This window comes from Homo sapiens, chromosome 12 (genome assembly GCF_000001405.40).
Source record: "Homo sapiens chromosome 12, GRCh38.p14 Primary Assembly".
NCBI lineage: Eukaryota > Metazoa > Chordata > Mammalia > Primates > Hominidae > Homo > Homo sapiens.
Genome location: NC_000012.12, coordinates 52,836,590 through 52,849,410, shown reverse-complemented (window position 1 = coordinate 52,849,410; position 12,821 = coordinate 52,836,590). Strand labels below are relative to the sequence as shown.

The 12,821-nt window shown below is 52.7% G+C and overlaps 1 protein-coding gene across 3 annotated transcripts, besides 1 other annotated feature; it reads left to right on the top strand.

The window, feature by feature from the left end:
- On the top strand, positions 417-11,607 carry KRT78 (keratin 78). 3 transcript variants are annotated; one of them, NM_173352.4, is made up of 9 exons: positions 417-864; positions 1,290-1,504; positions 2,587-2,647; positions 3,119-3,214; positions 4,688-4,852; positions 5,193-5,318; positions 9,427-9,647; positions 9,924-9,958; positions 10,039-11,604. In NM_173352.4, the coding sequence occupies exons 1-9, from the start codon at positions 481-483 to the stop codon at positions 10,296-10,298; spliced, it is 1,563 nt and encodes a 520-aa protein (NP_775487.2). In that variant the 5' UTR covers positions 417-480; the 3' UTR covers positions 10,299-11,604. The 3 variants fall into 3 exon arrangements, with proteins under 3 accessions (NP_775487.2, XP_011536312.1, NP_001287743.1); NM_001300814.1 differs by lacking the exon at positions 417-864 and adding an exon at positions 1,128-1,193 and having other exon boundaries at positions 10,039-11,607; XM_011538010.2 differs by lacking the exon at positions 3,119-3,214.
- Positions 11,429-12,628: an enhancer, noted in NCBI's record as "BRD4-independent group 4 enhancer chr12:53230567-53231766 (GRCh37/hg19 assembly coordinates)". NCBI's record gives its function as "activates an origin of replication core promoter dependent on BRD2, P300/CBP, MED14 and CDK7 cofactors, and independent of BRD4, by STARR-seq in HCT116 cells {active_cell/tissue: HCT116}" and the evidence as "EXISTENCE:reporter gene assay evidence [ECO:0000049][PMID:35650434]".

Here is a 12,821-nt window from a genome sequence, read left to right as displayed (position 1 = left end):
CAGATTCTCCCTTGAGAATCCAGGGCACTCTGATGCTTCCTCTGAACCCCTTCTAGCGTTCTTTCCTCTTCAACCTCCTCTCGCTTCCCTGTCTCCTTCAGGAAGCCTTCCCTGAGGGCCTCAGTGACTTTGCTCCGGCCATCCCTCCCTGTCCCTCAGCACTGACATCCCAGTCTCCTGCCTGCTTCCTTGTCTTTGGGCATGCCTATTTCTCCAACAGCCTGGGAGCTCTGAGGGCAGGGTCTGGGTTTCCTTCTCCCTTGGCTCTGCACGTGCCGGACACTTATTCTCCAGGCACGTCAGAGTAAGTCAGCTGGAGCCAAGTGACAGACACAGTCAGGTCAAGAGTATCTTGCTCTCCAAGGCCCAGCCCAGGTACGGGAGTGGATAAAAGTCTCGTGCTGGGGCCCCAGGGCAGAAACTCACACACCTTGACAATCTGTCTGTCCGTCTGCAGCTGCGTGACTGTCTGTCTCTGCCATGTCTCTCTCCCCATGCCGGGCCCAGAGGGGCTTCAGCGCTCGCTCAGCCTGTTCTGCTCGCTCAAGGGGCCGCAGCAGGGGAGGCTTCAGCAGCAGGGGCGGCTTCAGCAGCAGGAGCCTTAATTCCTTTGGGGGGTGCCTGGAAGGCTCTCGTGGGAGTACCTGGGGGTCAGGGGGTAGGCTGGGGGTGCGGTTTGGGGAGTGGAGTGGTGGGCCTGGGCTCTCCCTGTGCCCTCCGGGGGGCATCCAAGAAGTGACCATCAACCAGAATCTGCTGACCCCACTGAAGATTGAGATCGATCCCCAGTTCCAGGTGGTGCGGACGCAGGAGACCCAGGAGATCAGAACCCTCAACAACCAGTTTGCTTCCTTCATTGACAAGGTGAGGGTCAACTCAGCCAAGCCCCTGTCTCTGTGCCTCCCTTGGAGGAGCTGCTCTTGATGGACTTGGAAATGGGAAGTTTGGCCTCCTTCTACCACTTTTCTAATAACTTCTGCAGCAAAGAAGTCCCTCCTGTGGACTAACTGGACTCTCTCTGGCTATGCTGAGGCCCTGTTGTTCCATGATTGGGGCTCAGGGACAGAGAACTGCCAGCCAGCGGGGGGAAGGCCCTGCCCCATTAGTCAGTCCAGTCATTTTGTTGTGTTCAGAGTGTCATGGAAGGTCATGAGGCTTCCCCTGCCCAGGTTGGGCAGGGGGACAGGGGAAAGGTGAGGCTGATGGGAGGGTCCCTCAGGCTTTACTTTCCAGAGGCTGTGCACAGGGAGTCCCACAGGAGCCTCAGGGATCCTCTGCTTTTGCTGCAGGTGCGGTTCCTGGAGCAGCAGAACAAGGTCCTGGAGACGAAGTGGCATCTGCTGCAGCAACAGGGGTTGAGTGGCAGCCAGCAGGGCCTGGAGCCTGTCTTTGAGGCCTGCCTGGATCAGCTCAGGAAGCAGCTGGAGCAGCTCCAGGGAGAACGAGGGGCTCTGGATGCTGAGTTGAAGGCCTGCCGGGACCAGGAGGAGGAGTATAAGTCCAAGTAGGCACACTGAAATTTCCCCATGCCATGTGGGCGGGGTCTGGGATGACTCAGTTTGGGTCTGTCAGCCAGGAGGTGTCCCACATACTGAGCACCCAGAGGCACATGACTGGCCTCCCCTCTACCCCTCCGCGTCCCCATTCCCCAGGCTCTCAGGTGCCCACCTGCTACAGGTAAACGAGGTGTCCCGCAGTCCCCAAGCAGATCTGGAGAACCTTGGAGGAAAGGCAGGGAGACCGGTGTCCTACATGCCCCAGCTACAAGGGCCCATGTTTCCGGTCAAGGCTGGGAAGGGCTTATTTAAACAATGCCCCAGTGGCTTTTTTTATTCTTGAGAAATTCCTGTTCAGCGGGCTGTGGGCTAAAGTGATTCAGATGTTCTCTGGTTCCAAAGAGGGAAGGGAATCAATTTAGTGGGGCTGTCCCCAGGCCTGTGACACAATTCACAGATGGGCTGTGGTTCTGGGCTCCACGCCTAGGTCACCTGGTGGAGTGGAGAGAGCCCTGGACTAATAGGGGGCTTGGGTTGGGGCAACTGTGAGTGAGGGGTAGCTGTGCATCCTGGGCAAGGCATCTCATCTCTCCCGGACTTGGTTTCCCTTCTGTAAACTTGGGAAATGTCACCTGCCCTTCTGGCCTCCCAGGGCTATTGGGATAATGGGATGTGAGGTGGAGGAAGGAAGGTTCTGGAAGGAGCCCTGGATTGGGGTCAGAAGACCTGGGCTGGCTCTGCTTTGTCTACCTAGTCATCTGTGGGGTCTTGGTCAAATCATCTAATCTCTCTGATAAAACCCAAACTGCCTACCTCAAGTGATGGGTGTGAGTAGCAAGTGGGAAAAGGTATTCGAATGTGCCTTATAAACTGAAACAATGTGGCTGTCGTCATCAAAAGGACATGGGCTGAAAGGGTGGCACAGGTACATAGCTAGGACGTGGCAGGAAAGGAGAGAAGGGCTGGTTATTGTCTTGTTTGGGGGCATTCTAAGGCAAGGAGTCCTTTTCAGGGAGGTCATGCTCGGACATGGGGGCATGAGCTCTGACCGTGGAGCCTCAAACTGCATCCTTCTCTACTTATTTGGCAGGTATGAGGAGGAGGCCCACAGGCGTGCCACACTTGAGAACGACTTTGTGGTCCTCAAGAAGGTGAGGGTGGGGGCCAGTGCTCCACTTACGTTCTGAGCATCCACTGTGCACGGAGCCTAGTCCTAGGCTGGGAGGGAAAAGGTGGGAGGTCCTGATTTAGGACAGGCTATCACTCTACCTGCAGGGGTCCCCTGGGAAAATGGGACATCTGCCTAGACACAGGGGCCCCAAGGCAAGATCTGACTAAAGGACTGCTTGACGAGCTCTTGATGTCACTGCAGGAGAGGGCGGGGAGGGAGAGGAAGAAGCAGAACTGGTTGTGATTAATCAGGGAAGACTTCCTGAAGGTGATGTTGGGTCAATGTTGGGCAAAGGAGAGAGCAGGACAGAGTGGGGCTGGAGGAGGAAGGAGGGGGTCTTGGGAGGCATGGTGGATGGGTGTTGAGCAGTGCATGAACAGAATTCCTGAGCCAGAGTAGGGACCCCAAAGAGGAAGAGGGGGTTACGTGTTCTCTCTCCCCTTGTCTCCAGGATGTGGATGGGGTTTTCCTGAGCAAGATGGAGTTGGAGGGCAAGCTGGAGGCTCTGAGAGAGTACCTCTACTTCTTGAAGCATCTGAATGAAGAAGTGAGGCTCAACCAAAGGGCAGGCTGCAGCCAAGAGAGAGGACTGGGTGGGCAGGCTTCCTGTGGCCATGAGGAGAATGGCCAAGAGGGGAAGTCTGTTAGGGTGGCTTAGATTCTGGGTCATTCAGTCACTTGACAACCAATTACTGAAAACTTACTATGTGAATTGCTAGGTCCTGGGGATACATCAATGAATAACCAGAAAAAAATCACTACAGATAAAAAAATTGCTTTTTTTTTTTTTTGAGATGGAATCTTGCTCAGTTGCCCAGGCTGGAGTGCAGTGGTGCAATCTCAGCTCACTGCAACCTCTGCCTCCCGGCTTCAAGCAATTCTCTGCCTCAGCTTCCCAAGTAGGTGGGATTACAGGCACCCGCCACTGCGGTCAGCTAATTTTTGTATTTTTAGTAGAGATGGGGTTTCACCATCTTAGCTAGGCTGGTCTTGAACTCCTGACCTCATGATCCACCCGCCTCGGCCTCCCAAAGTGCTGGGATTACAGGCATGAGCCACCACGCCCGACTAAGTTTGCTTTCTATTGGGAGACAGACAATAAGCAACAGACTTAGTAAATAAGGAAATCATATAGTATGGAAGAAGGTGATAAACGCAATGGAAAAAAGGAAAATGAGAACAGAGAAAGGAGGATTGGGAACATGGAGCAGGTGCCAACTTCAAATCATGTGGCCAGGGTAGGCCTTATTTAGGAGATAAAATCTGAGCAAAGATTTGGAGGAGGTGAGGAAGGTCACCACGCAGGTGGGTTTCTGGGATTCCAGGCAGTGGCTGCAGCCCACAGCGGGAGTGTGCTGTCTGAGGAAATGCAGGAAGGTCGGTGTGGCCAGAGTAGTAGGAGCGAGAGGGAGAGGAGTATGATAAGAGGTCTGAAGATGGCTGGGCACGGTGGCTCATGCCTATAATCCCAGCACTTTGGGAGGCTGAGGCAGGTGGATCACCTGAGGTCAGGAGTTCGAGACCAGCCTAGTGAAACGCTGTCGCTACAAAAACACAAAAATTAGCCAGGCTTGGTGGCAGGTGCTTGTAATCCCAGCTACTAGGGAGGCTGAGGGAGAAGAATGGCTTGAACCTGGAAGGCAGAGGTTACAGTGAGCCGAGATCACACCACTGCACTCCAGCCTGGGCAACAGAGTAAGACTCCATCTTAAAAAAAAAAAAGAAGAAGAAGAAAAAAAAAAGAGGCCTGAGGAGTGATGGGGGCTGGGTGATTTTGGGCCTTGCAGGCCATTTTCCATTAATGTCCAAGCTGCAAGAGACTTCAGAGACCACCTCCTATGGCTCTCATTTTTGAATGAGGAGATCGAGTCCCATGGTGAGCAGGGCATACTCAAAGCCACCTGGGATGAATGGGGGTCATGGCATGTAAGCAGAAATTCATCATCCTGCTCAACCATCCTAGGCTTCAAGGGGAGAAGGAGCTGGGGGTGAGTGGACACTGAGTCTGTCTTCCCTGCAGGAGCTGGGCCAGCTCCAGACCCAGGCCAGCGACACGTCTGTGGTGCTGTCCATGGACAACAACCGCTACCTGGACTTCAGCAGCATCATCACTGAGGTCCGCGCCCGGTACGAGGAGATCGCCCGGAGCAGCAAGGCTGAGGCTGAGGCCTTGTACCAGACCAAGGTGGTGGGACCTGGGGGGCAGCACCATGCTGGAAATGGCTAGGTCTCCATGCCCAAACTCTAGGGTGGTCATCCACCTCGATCCCATTGGGGCAGTTCCAGTTACCTCCCTGAAGGTCTGGGGCTGGGTGGGCAGGGCCATTTCCCCTCCAGGAGGGAGGCGATGCAGAGGAACCGTGGGAGATAAGCTTGGACTTCTGGAAGTATATCCCACTGTGTCCTGGCTCAGGCGTTTAACCCACACTCCAAATAAGGAGTGAGAGGTGGCTTTTCAAACATGAGGAGATGGTCAAAGGTGGCAGTCCTCTCAACTAATGGTGTCCCCTCTGTTCCCCTCTCAGTACCAGGAACTTCAGGTGTCTGCCCAGCTTCATGGGGACAGGATGCAGGAAACGAAAGTCCAGATCTCTCAGCTACACCAAGAGATTCAGAGGCTGCAGAGTCAGACTGAGAACCTCAAGAAGCAGGTAGATTCCCAGAGACCCCCAAATGTCCTCTCATTGCCTTTGTGCCTTCAACTCACTTCCCAGTTCCTAGCTTCTCTCTCCAGTTGGGTTGCCAGTGGTTTTGTGTCGAGGACCTTGATAACTGGCTGGAGCTTTGGATAATTTGGGGAGAAGAGAACTTCAAGCCCCATCTAGGGTGAATTCAGCCTTCCTGCTGTGACTTCTAGCCACATGTTGGCTTTCGTGGGATAGTGCCACTGGATCGCACTCCCCTGGCATCGGGGAGGGGGCTGACAGCATTGTAGCCTATGTCCAGGTGTACATCTTGCTTTCAGCCCCTTGGGGAGATGGTTAATTCATCTGTTTTCTCTTTTCTTATCTTTTCCTTTTCTTTTCTTTTTCTTTTTCTTTTTTTTTTTTTTTTTGAGACAGAGTCTTACTCCACTGCCCAGGTTGGAGTTCAGTGGCGTGATCTTGGCTTACTGCAACCTCTGCCTCCGGGTTCAAGGGATTCTCCTGCCTCAGCCTCTTGAGTAGCTGGAATTACAGGCATGTGCCACCATGCTTGGCTAATTTTTGCATTTTCAGTAGGGACGGGGTTTCACCATGTTGGCCAGGCTGGTCTCAAACTCCTGACCTCAAGTGATCTGCCCGCCTTGGCCTCCCAAAGTGGTAGGATTACAGGTGTGAGCCACTGCACCCAGCCTCATTTCTTTTCTTTTTCTTTCTCTCTCTCTCTCTTTTTTTTGAGACAGAGTCTTACTCCACTGCCCAGGCTGGAGTACAGTGGCGTGATCTTGGCTCACTACAACCTCTGCCTCCGGGTTCAAGGGATTCTCCTGCCTCAGCCTACTGAGTAGCTGGAATTACAGGCACTCACCACCATGCTTGGCTAATTTTTGCATTTTTAATAGAGATGGGATTTCACCATGTTGGCCAGGCTGGTCTCAAACTCCTGACCTCAAGTGATCTGCCCGCCTCGGCCTCCCAAAGTGGTGGGATTACAGTCGTGAGCCACTGCACCCAGCTTCATCTCTTTTCTTTCTTTCTTTCTTCCTTCCTCCCTTCCCTCCCTCCCTCCCTCCCTCCCTCCCTCCCTCCCTCCTTCCTTCCTTCCTTCCTTCCTTCCTTCCTTCCTTCCTTCCTTCCTTCCTCTCTCTCTCTCTCTCTCTCTCTTTCTTTCTTTCCTTTCTTTCTTTCATGGAGTTTCACTGTTGTCAGCCCGGACTGGAGTGCAATGGCGTGATCTCGGCTTAATGCAACCTCCACCTCCCAGGTTCCAGCAATTCTGCCTCAGCCTCCCGAGTAGCTGAGATTACAGGTGCCTGCCACCACACCCGGCTAATTTTTGTATTTTTAGTAGAGACAGGGTTTCACCATGTTGGCCAAGCTGGTCTCGAACTCCTGACATCAGGTGATCCACCAGCTTCAGCCTCCCAAAGTGCTGGGATTACAGGTGTGAGCCACCATGCTCAGCCCACATCTCTTTTCTTATCTCTTCTTTTGACTCTTACTTCTCAAGCCCAGCAGGGACTTTAAGGTCAAACACTGAAGGTCCTGGTGCCCTGTGGGGGAAGTTGGGAGCCAGGGCCTCAGAGAGTAGGTGAGGTGGGCGGCAGGGTGGGGCTAACTTCTCCTTAGGTAGATGCATTACAAGGGTCAGAAATAGAGGAAGAGATTGGCAAGGGGAGGGAGGCCGTTTCCTGCTCCTCCTGCGGTGTAGAGACCTCACTTCTAGATGTGAAGTGTTATGAATTCTCAAATTGTTAAGTATTCTTGCACTCATATTTCCTAAACCCAAAATATCAATTTGGGTGTCAATGGAGGATGGAGAGCAGAGACCACAGAGTCAGGCCATTTCCTCAAGCACTACAGCTTGATTCAAAAGTCACATGTGGTCCCTTGACTCCCAAGCAGAGCCCTCTGGGGAGGGTTCTTGGAGTATCCAGAACCATCCTCCTGGTTCTTGTTTGCAATGAGAAGCAGGGCTTGAGATGAATGTGATGAATCCTCTTACTCAATTTGCTGCCACTATGTTTCACCAACAAATTTGGACCCCTTGCTTTGGAGTCCTCTGGGGTGGCTATTAAGATCCAGATTCCTGGCCTCCTGGCAGAGCTGAGGAGTCAGAATCTCTAAGGATGGGGCCCAGAAACCTGCTTTTTAAATGAGGTTGCCCAGCTGGTTCTGAAGCATGTGGTCTTGAGAGTCCAGTGGCAGCACGCAGGAGTGTGTATGTGTACTGGGTACCTGGGTCTGGGAATCACAGCTCCTCACACAGCAATGTGCCTTTCCCAGGAGAATCCCTCCTGGAGATATAGCACTGTCCCCTGCTCCTTTTCCTGCACAAACATGATGAACTGGGCTCCCCTGTGCAGGCCCACGTGGGTTAGGATCCCAGTTCTGCCACTCTTCTTTCTGAGCCTCAGTTTCTTCATCTATAGAGTAGAGATTATGTTTCTATCCACAGAGTGGGAATCGATAATAACAGCCTTTAGACAATTCCTTCTTTCCTGAGTCAGATGTGAGGGCAAATCAACTGTAAGGCTGATAAAGACAGGGATCTCATCCTTCCTCTAGCTTTCTATTGTAAGTAAAAGGATTATATTTTCTTTTTTTTTTTTTTTGAGAAGGAGTCTCACTCTGTCACCCAGGCTGGAATGCAGTGGCGCGATCTCGGCTCACTGCAACCTCCGCCTCCCGGGTTCAAGCGATTCTCCTACCTCAGCCTCCTGAGTAGCTGGGACTACAGGTGTGTGCCACCATGCCCGGCTAATTTTTTTTTTTTATTTTTAGTAGAGACAGGGTTTCGCCGTATTAGCCAGGATGGTCTCTATCTCCTGACCTAGTGATCTGCCCACCTCAGCCTCCCAAAGTGCTGGAATTACAGGCGTGAGCCACCGCGCCCGGTAGAGATTATATTTTTCAAGTCCCAAATTGAGGCATATGTTTTGATGTACTCTGACAACAGGACAAAGTATTTGAAATGGGACTGTCTGAAAAAAATGAGAACCATTGTGACCCTCAGGGGGAGCCTTGCAGATAGTGATCCATGGTACAGGAAGAGCTTTAAGCACCCTGGGAGAGGTGCCGAGGGCTGGGGGTGGGAAGAAATAGGGAAAGAGCACTTGGGGAGGTGGCACAGGAGTTGTACTAGTGTCCTAGGCCTGTCATGACAAATCACCACAAATCGGGTGGCTTAAAACAACAGAAATGTAATCTCTCCCAGTCCTGGAGCCTTGAAGTCTGAAGTCAAGGTGTTGGCGGGGCCGTGCTCCCTCTGAAGGTGCAGCGAGAGTCCTCCCTGGGTCTTGCTAGCTTCTGCAGGCTTCAGGAGCTCCTTGGCATTTTTCGTCTTATTGCTGCATCATTCCCATCTCTGCCTCTCTCTTCTTCTTTCTATTTTTTGAGATGGAGTCTTGCTCTGTTGCCAGGCTGGAGTGCAGTGGCATGATCTTGGCTCACTGCAACCTCCACCTCCCGGGTTCAAGCAATTCTCCTGCCTCAGCCTCCCGAGTAGCTGGGACTACAGGTGCGTGCCACTATGGTCAGCTAATTTTTTTATTTTTATTTTTAGTAGAGATGGGGTTTTACCGTGTTAGCCAGGATTGTCTCGAACTCCTCACCTTGTAATTCACCTGCCTCAGCCTCCTAAAGTGCTAGGATTACAGGCGTGAGCCACCATGCCCAGCCCTGCCTCTCTCTTCTGATGAGCTCTTCTCTCTGTGTCTGTCTCTGTGTTCTCTCTTCTATTCATAAGGACACCAGTCATTGGATTTAGGGCTCACCCTAAATATGGTACGATATGATCATGAGATCCTTAATTAATTATATCTGTAAAGACCCTACTTCCAATAAGATCACATTCTGGGGTTCTGGGTGGACATGAAAGTTTTGGGGGATACTCTTCAACCTACTGCAGGAGGTAAGGAAGTGAGGGAAGCAATACCTTCCCTTAGAATGAGAGGAGCCTGTTGCAGGGGTGGTGTTGGTACAGACGGCCATGGATAATTTTGAGCTCATAAGATTATGATCCGCCCCAGCCTTCAAGTGATATCCACAGTGGGTGCTTTGAGAGGCTATGTTGGACTTACAACCACCTTCTCGCTCATTTCTACCCCGCTTCCAGAACGCCAGCCTGCAGGCCGCCATCACTGATGCTGAGCAGCGTGGGGAGCTGGCCCTCAAGGACGCTCAGGCCAAGGTGGACGAGCTGGAGGCTGCTCTGAGGATGGCCAAGCAGAACCTGGCCCGGCTGCTGTGCGAGTACCAGGAGCTGACGAGCACGAAGCTTTCCCTGGATGTGGAGATTGCCACTTACCGCAGGCTGCTGGAGGGCGAGGAGTGCAGGTGAGGGAGGCTTGGAGGGACCTGGGAATATGAGTTTGGGGAGGAGGATGGGATGCCAACACAGTGAGCTGCTTGCTAAAGAGGATTCTGAGAGATTTCCTGACATTGTGAGTTGCTAAGGGCAACCGACGCTGCAGAGAGGGATTTTAAGTTGGAGACTGTGGATTTTATCTGCTGAGAGGGTGGGTGACCTGCTTTGAGGGGCTTAAAAGCTCGTGGGGATGCATTCTTTGTAGTATTCCTTAGCGCATCCCCCTCTTGTCCTTTTCCCCCTAGGATGTCTGGGGAGTGCACCAGCCAGGTCACTATCTGTGAGTATCAGGGGACTTTAGGGATGGGATCCCCATGGGGAGCTGATGACCCTGCTCTGACCCGGTGCGTTTCTTGGCAGCCTCGGTGGGAGGCAGCGCTGTCATGTCTGGAGGAGTTGGTGGAGGCTTGGGGAGCACTTGTGGACTCGGTAGTGGGAAAGGCAGCCCTGGGTCCTGCTGCACCAGCATTGTGACTGGAGGCTCCAACATCATTCTGGGCTCTGGGAAGGACCCTGTTTTGGATTCCTGCTCTGTGTCTGGCTCCAGCGCTGGCTCCAGCTGCCACACCATCCTGAAGAAGACAGTTGAGTCGAGTCTGAAGACATCCATCACCTACTGAGCGACCCAGCAGCCACCTCCTTCCTGAACACATTTGGCCCACTCCCCCCATCAGCCGGCTCTGCAAGGCCAACTCCGTGTCCGCTGCCCACAGCCCAAGCCAGCCCACAGCGGATGCTGCAAAAATCAATAAAGTCTCCCCTCCTGCTGTTCTGAATGCTCTAAGTGCTTGCACACCTCACCCAGCAAAACAAAAGCTGTGTGGCTCCCCAGCTTCCTCTCCTCGGAAGGCAATTGTGGCATATCTGTGTCCAGACGTGTTCTATTGGTATCTCACTCCACATCCCAGCCACTCTATCAAGGGATCCTTCAAGCTCTCCAGTGTGTTCCTTGGGGTGCCCTCCATCTCCCACAACTCCACTGATGTTTTAGCTGTGCTTGTAGCTCACTTCCTCATCAACTGCCTGTTTTAAGAGGTTCTAGTCCTGACTGGGGCAGCCCCCTTCCTTCTTGTTCCTCCTTCTTCCTGACTGTGCACCAAAATTTTCTCCTTTTAGGAACCTTCTCTAATTCCCATGTCTAAACTACTGGGCCCTTCCTGTCCCTGGCAGTCTGGCTGCACCTGTTGCTGTCCTGGGTGCTATGTCTGTCTGGCTCTGGTAAGGGACTCAGCTTCTCTATTAGCCTGGCACTCCTGCATCCAGGATGAGGATGTGCTCAGCTTGTGCCTGGGGGCTCTGATGGAGATTGGGGTTCAAACTCTGCCCCTACCCCCTTATCTGTTGGCTCTCATCTTATCCTTGGGCAAGTGTGAACATGAGGCTGGAAACTTCTCCTCCTTCCTCTCCTTCAGGAAGCTCTGCAGGAAGCCAGGAGTGTGGGAATCAGGTGGGGTGCCAGGAGGGGCTGGAAGGATCACCTTTTCTACACACCCCCAGCAGCCTCATGGGTGCCTGCAGTTGCTCTTTCCCCATTCTCGCTTTCCAGACCCAGGTGGGGGACCTGGCTCAACCCCAAACTCCATAGTCTGGGCTGCAGGAGGTCACACTACGCCTCTCCTTGCTTTAGAGGGAGGGCAGACCTTTCCTCAGATTCATGAATCGCTCCATCCAAATTATGCAAGAAGGCTTTTCAGCTTTGTGTGAAGGAGACCAGAGCCGGTGAGGATGTGGCTTGAATCCCAGCTCTGCTGTTTCCTAGTGGTGTGACCTTGATCAAGCAGCTTGACCTCTTCAGTTACCTCATCTGTAAAAAGAGATTAATAATAATATGTACCTCACAGGGCTGTGTGGCGACAGTGCCACTAGGATCCCAGAAGGAAACTAAATTCATCCAAGGTAGTTCAATTAAATTGACTTTTTGAAAAAGTATAATTTCCGTTTTCTTTTTTCCCCAGAGGATAGTCTTTTCTTTAGTGCTGAGGGATTCGGCCCCTTACATGGGCTTTGGCGGAGATTGTGGGCAGCACCAGCTGTTCTGACTAGGGATATGGGTGTTGGGTCCTTCTGGGCTTCACAAGGCTGCTTCCTGCCTGGCCTGCTATGAGTGACTCACCTCACATGGTAATGCAGTTTCACATACAGCCTGGGAAGCACCCAGACATCCAAGACACTCGCTTTGGAAATGTTCCTGATGGCGGTGGACTCTACCACGTTTTTCAGACTAAGACCTCCTTAATGGCCTTGCCCTCGGGCACGTGTCAGGTGGGGTTTGTGTAGTGAATAGGCTGCACGTGGTCGTGGGCGTGATTGTTGTTCCTTCTTTTCTTTGTCTTCTTGGAAGTGAGGACCTGAGAGGGCTAAATTGACTTTAAGGAAAGGATTACTTGCAGAGGTGTGGTTAGGGCTGAGGGAACAGGGATGGAGAGGCCAGGGACCAGCAATGGCGAGAAGCCGTTACCACACCTAGAGTGAGGTCCACCCTCTCAGTGTGTCCAAGACTGAGAGGACTTGCAGTGCTAAAGCTGGGCAGTCCTGAGAAAATCAGGATGGGCTGGTCGCCTTATGTAGAGCTGAAGATCAAGAGAAGCAGTGAGGTGGCAGAAGCTGTAATCATGGGGAGATGTAGCCATGTCCCCAGACAGTGGTCTGAAGTGGTTGGAAGCAGGGAGGGAGCTGGGAAGAAACATCTGACCTGTCTCCTCCCTCTGATCTCCTGCTGGTGTCTCCCTTTGGTCAACTCAACTGGAAGCCAGAGTGCCAGGGAGCAGCCCACAAGGGTCAGAGGAAGGTGGAGAATGGAGCGGGAGGGAGGCAGATGGAGCATCACCCAGTGCGGAGACTCAACATGCCATTGCAGGGAAGGCATCCAGGCCACTCTGCTGCATAGTACGTGCTCAGTAAGTGTTGACTGTAATAATGATGATAATTAGCTCAGAAAGCCCTACCCTCTTGGGGCTCCTTTGTCCCTGTAACTTTCCTATTGCTCGGCACCCGGCCTGACCCATGGTAGGTGCTAGGTTGGCAGTATCCACTCTCTTGCCCCCTCCCTTTGGTGGCAGCAACCTTCAGTCCCCTCTGCTTTTGTGTCCTGCCATCAGGGAGGGACTCTGGGCAGGTGACAGTCTCCAGAGATGGAGCCCCTC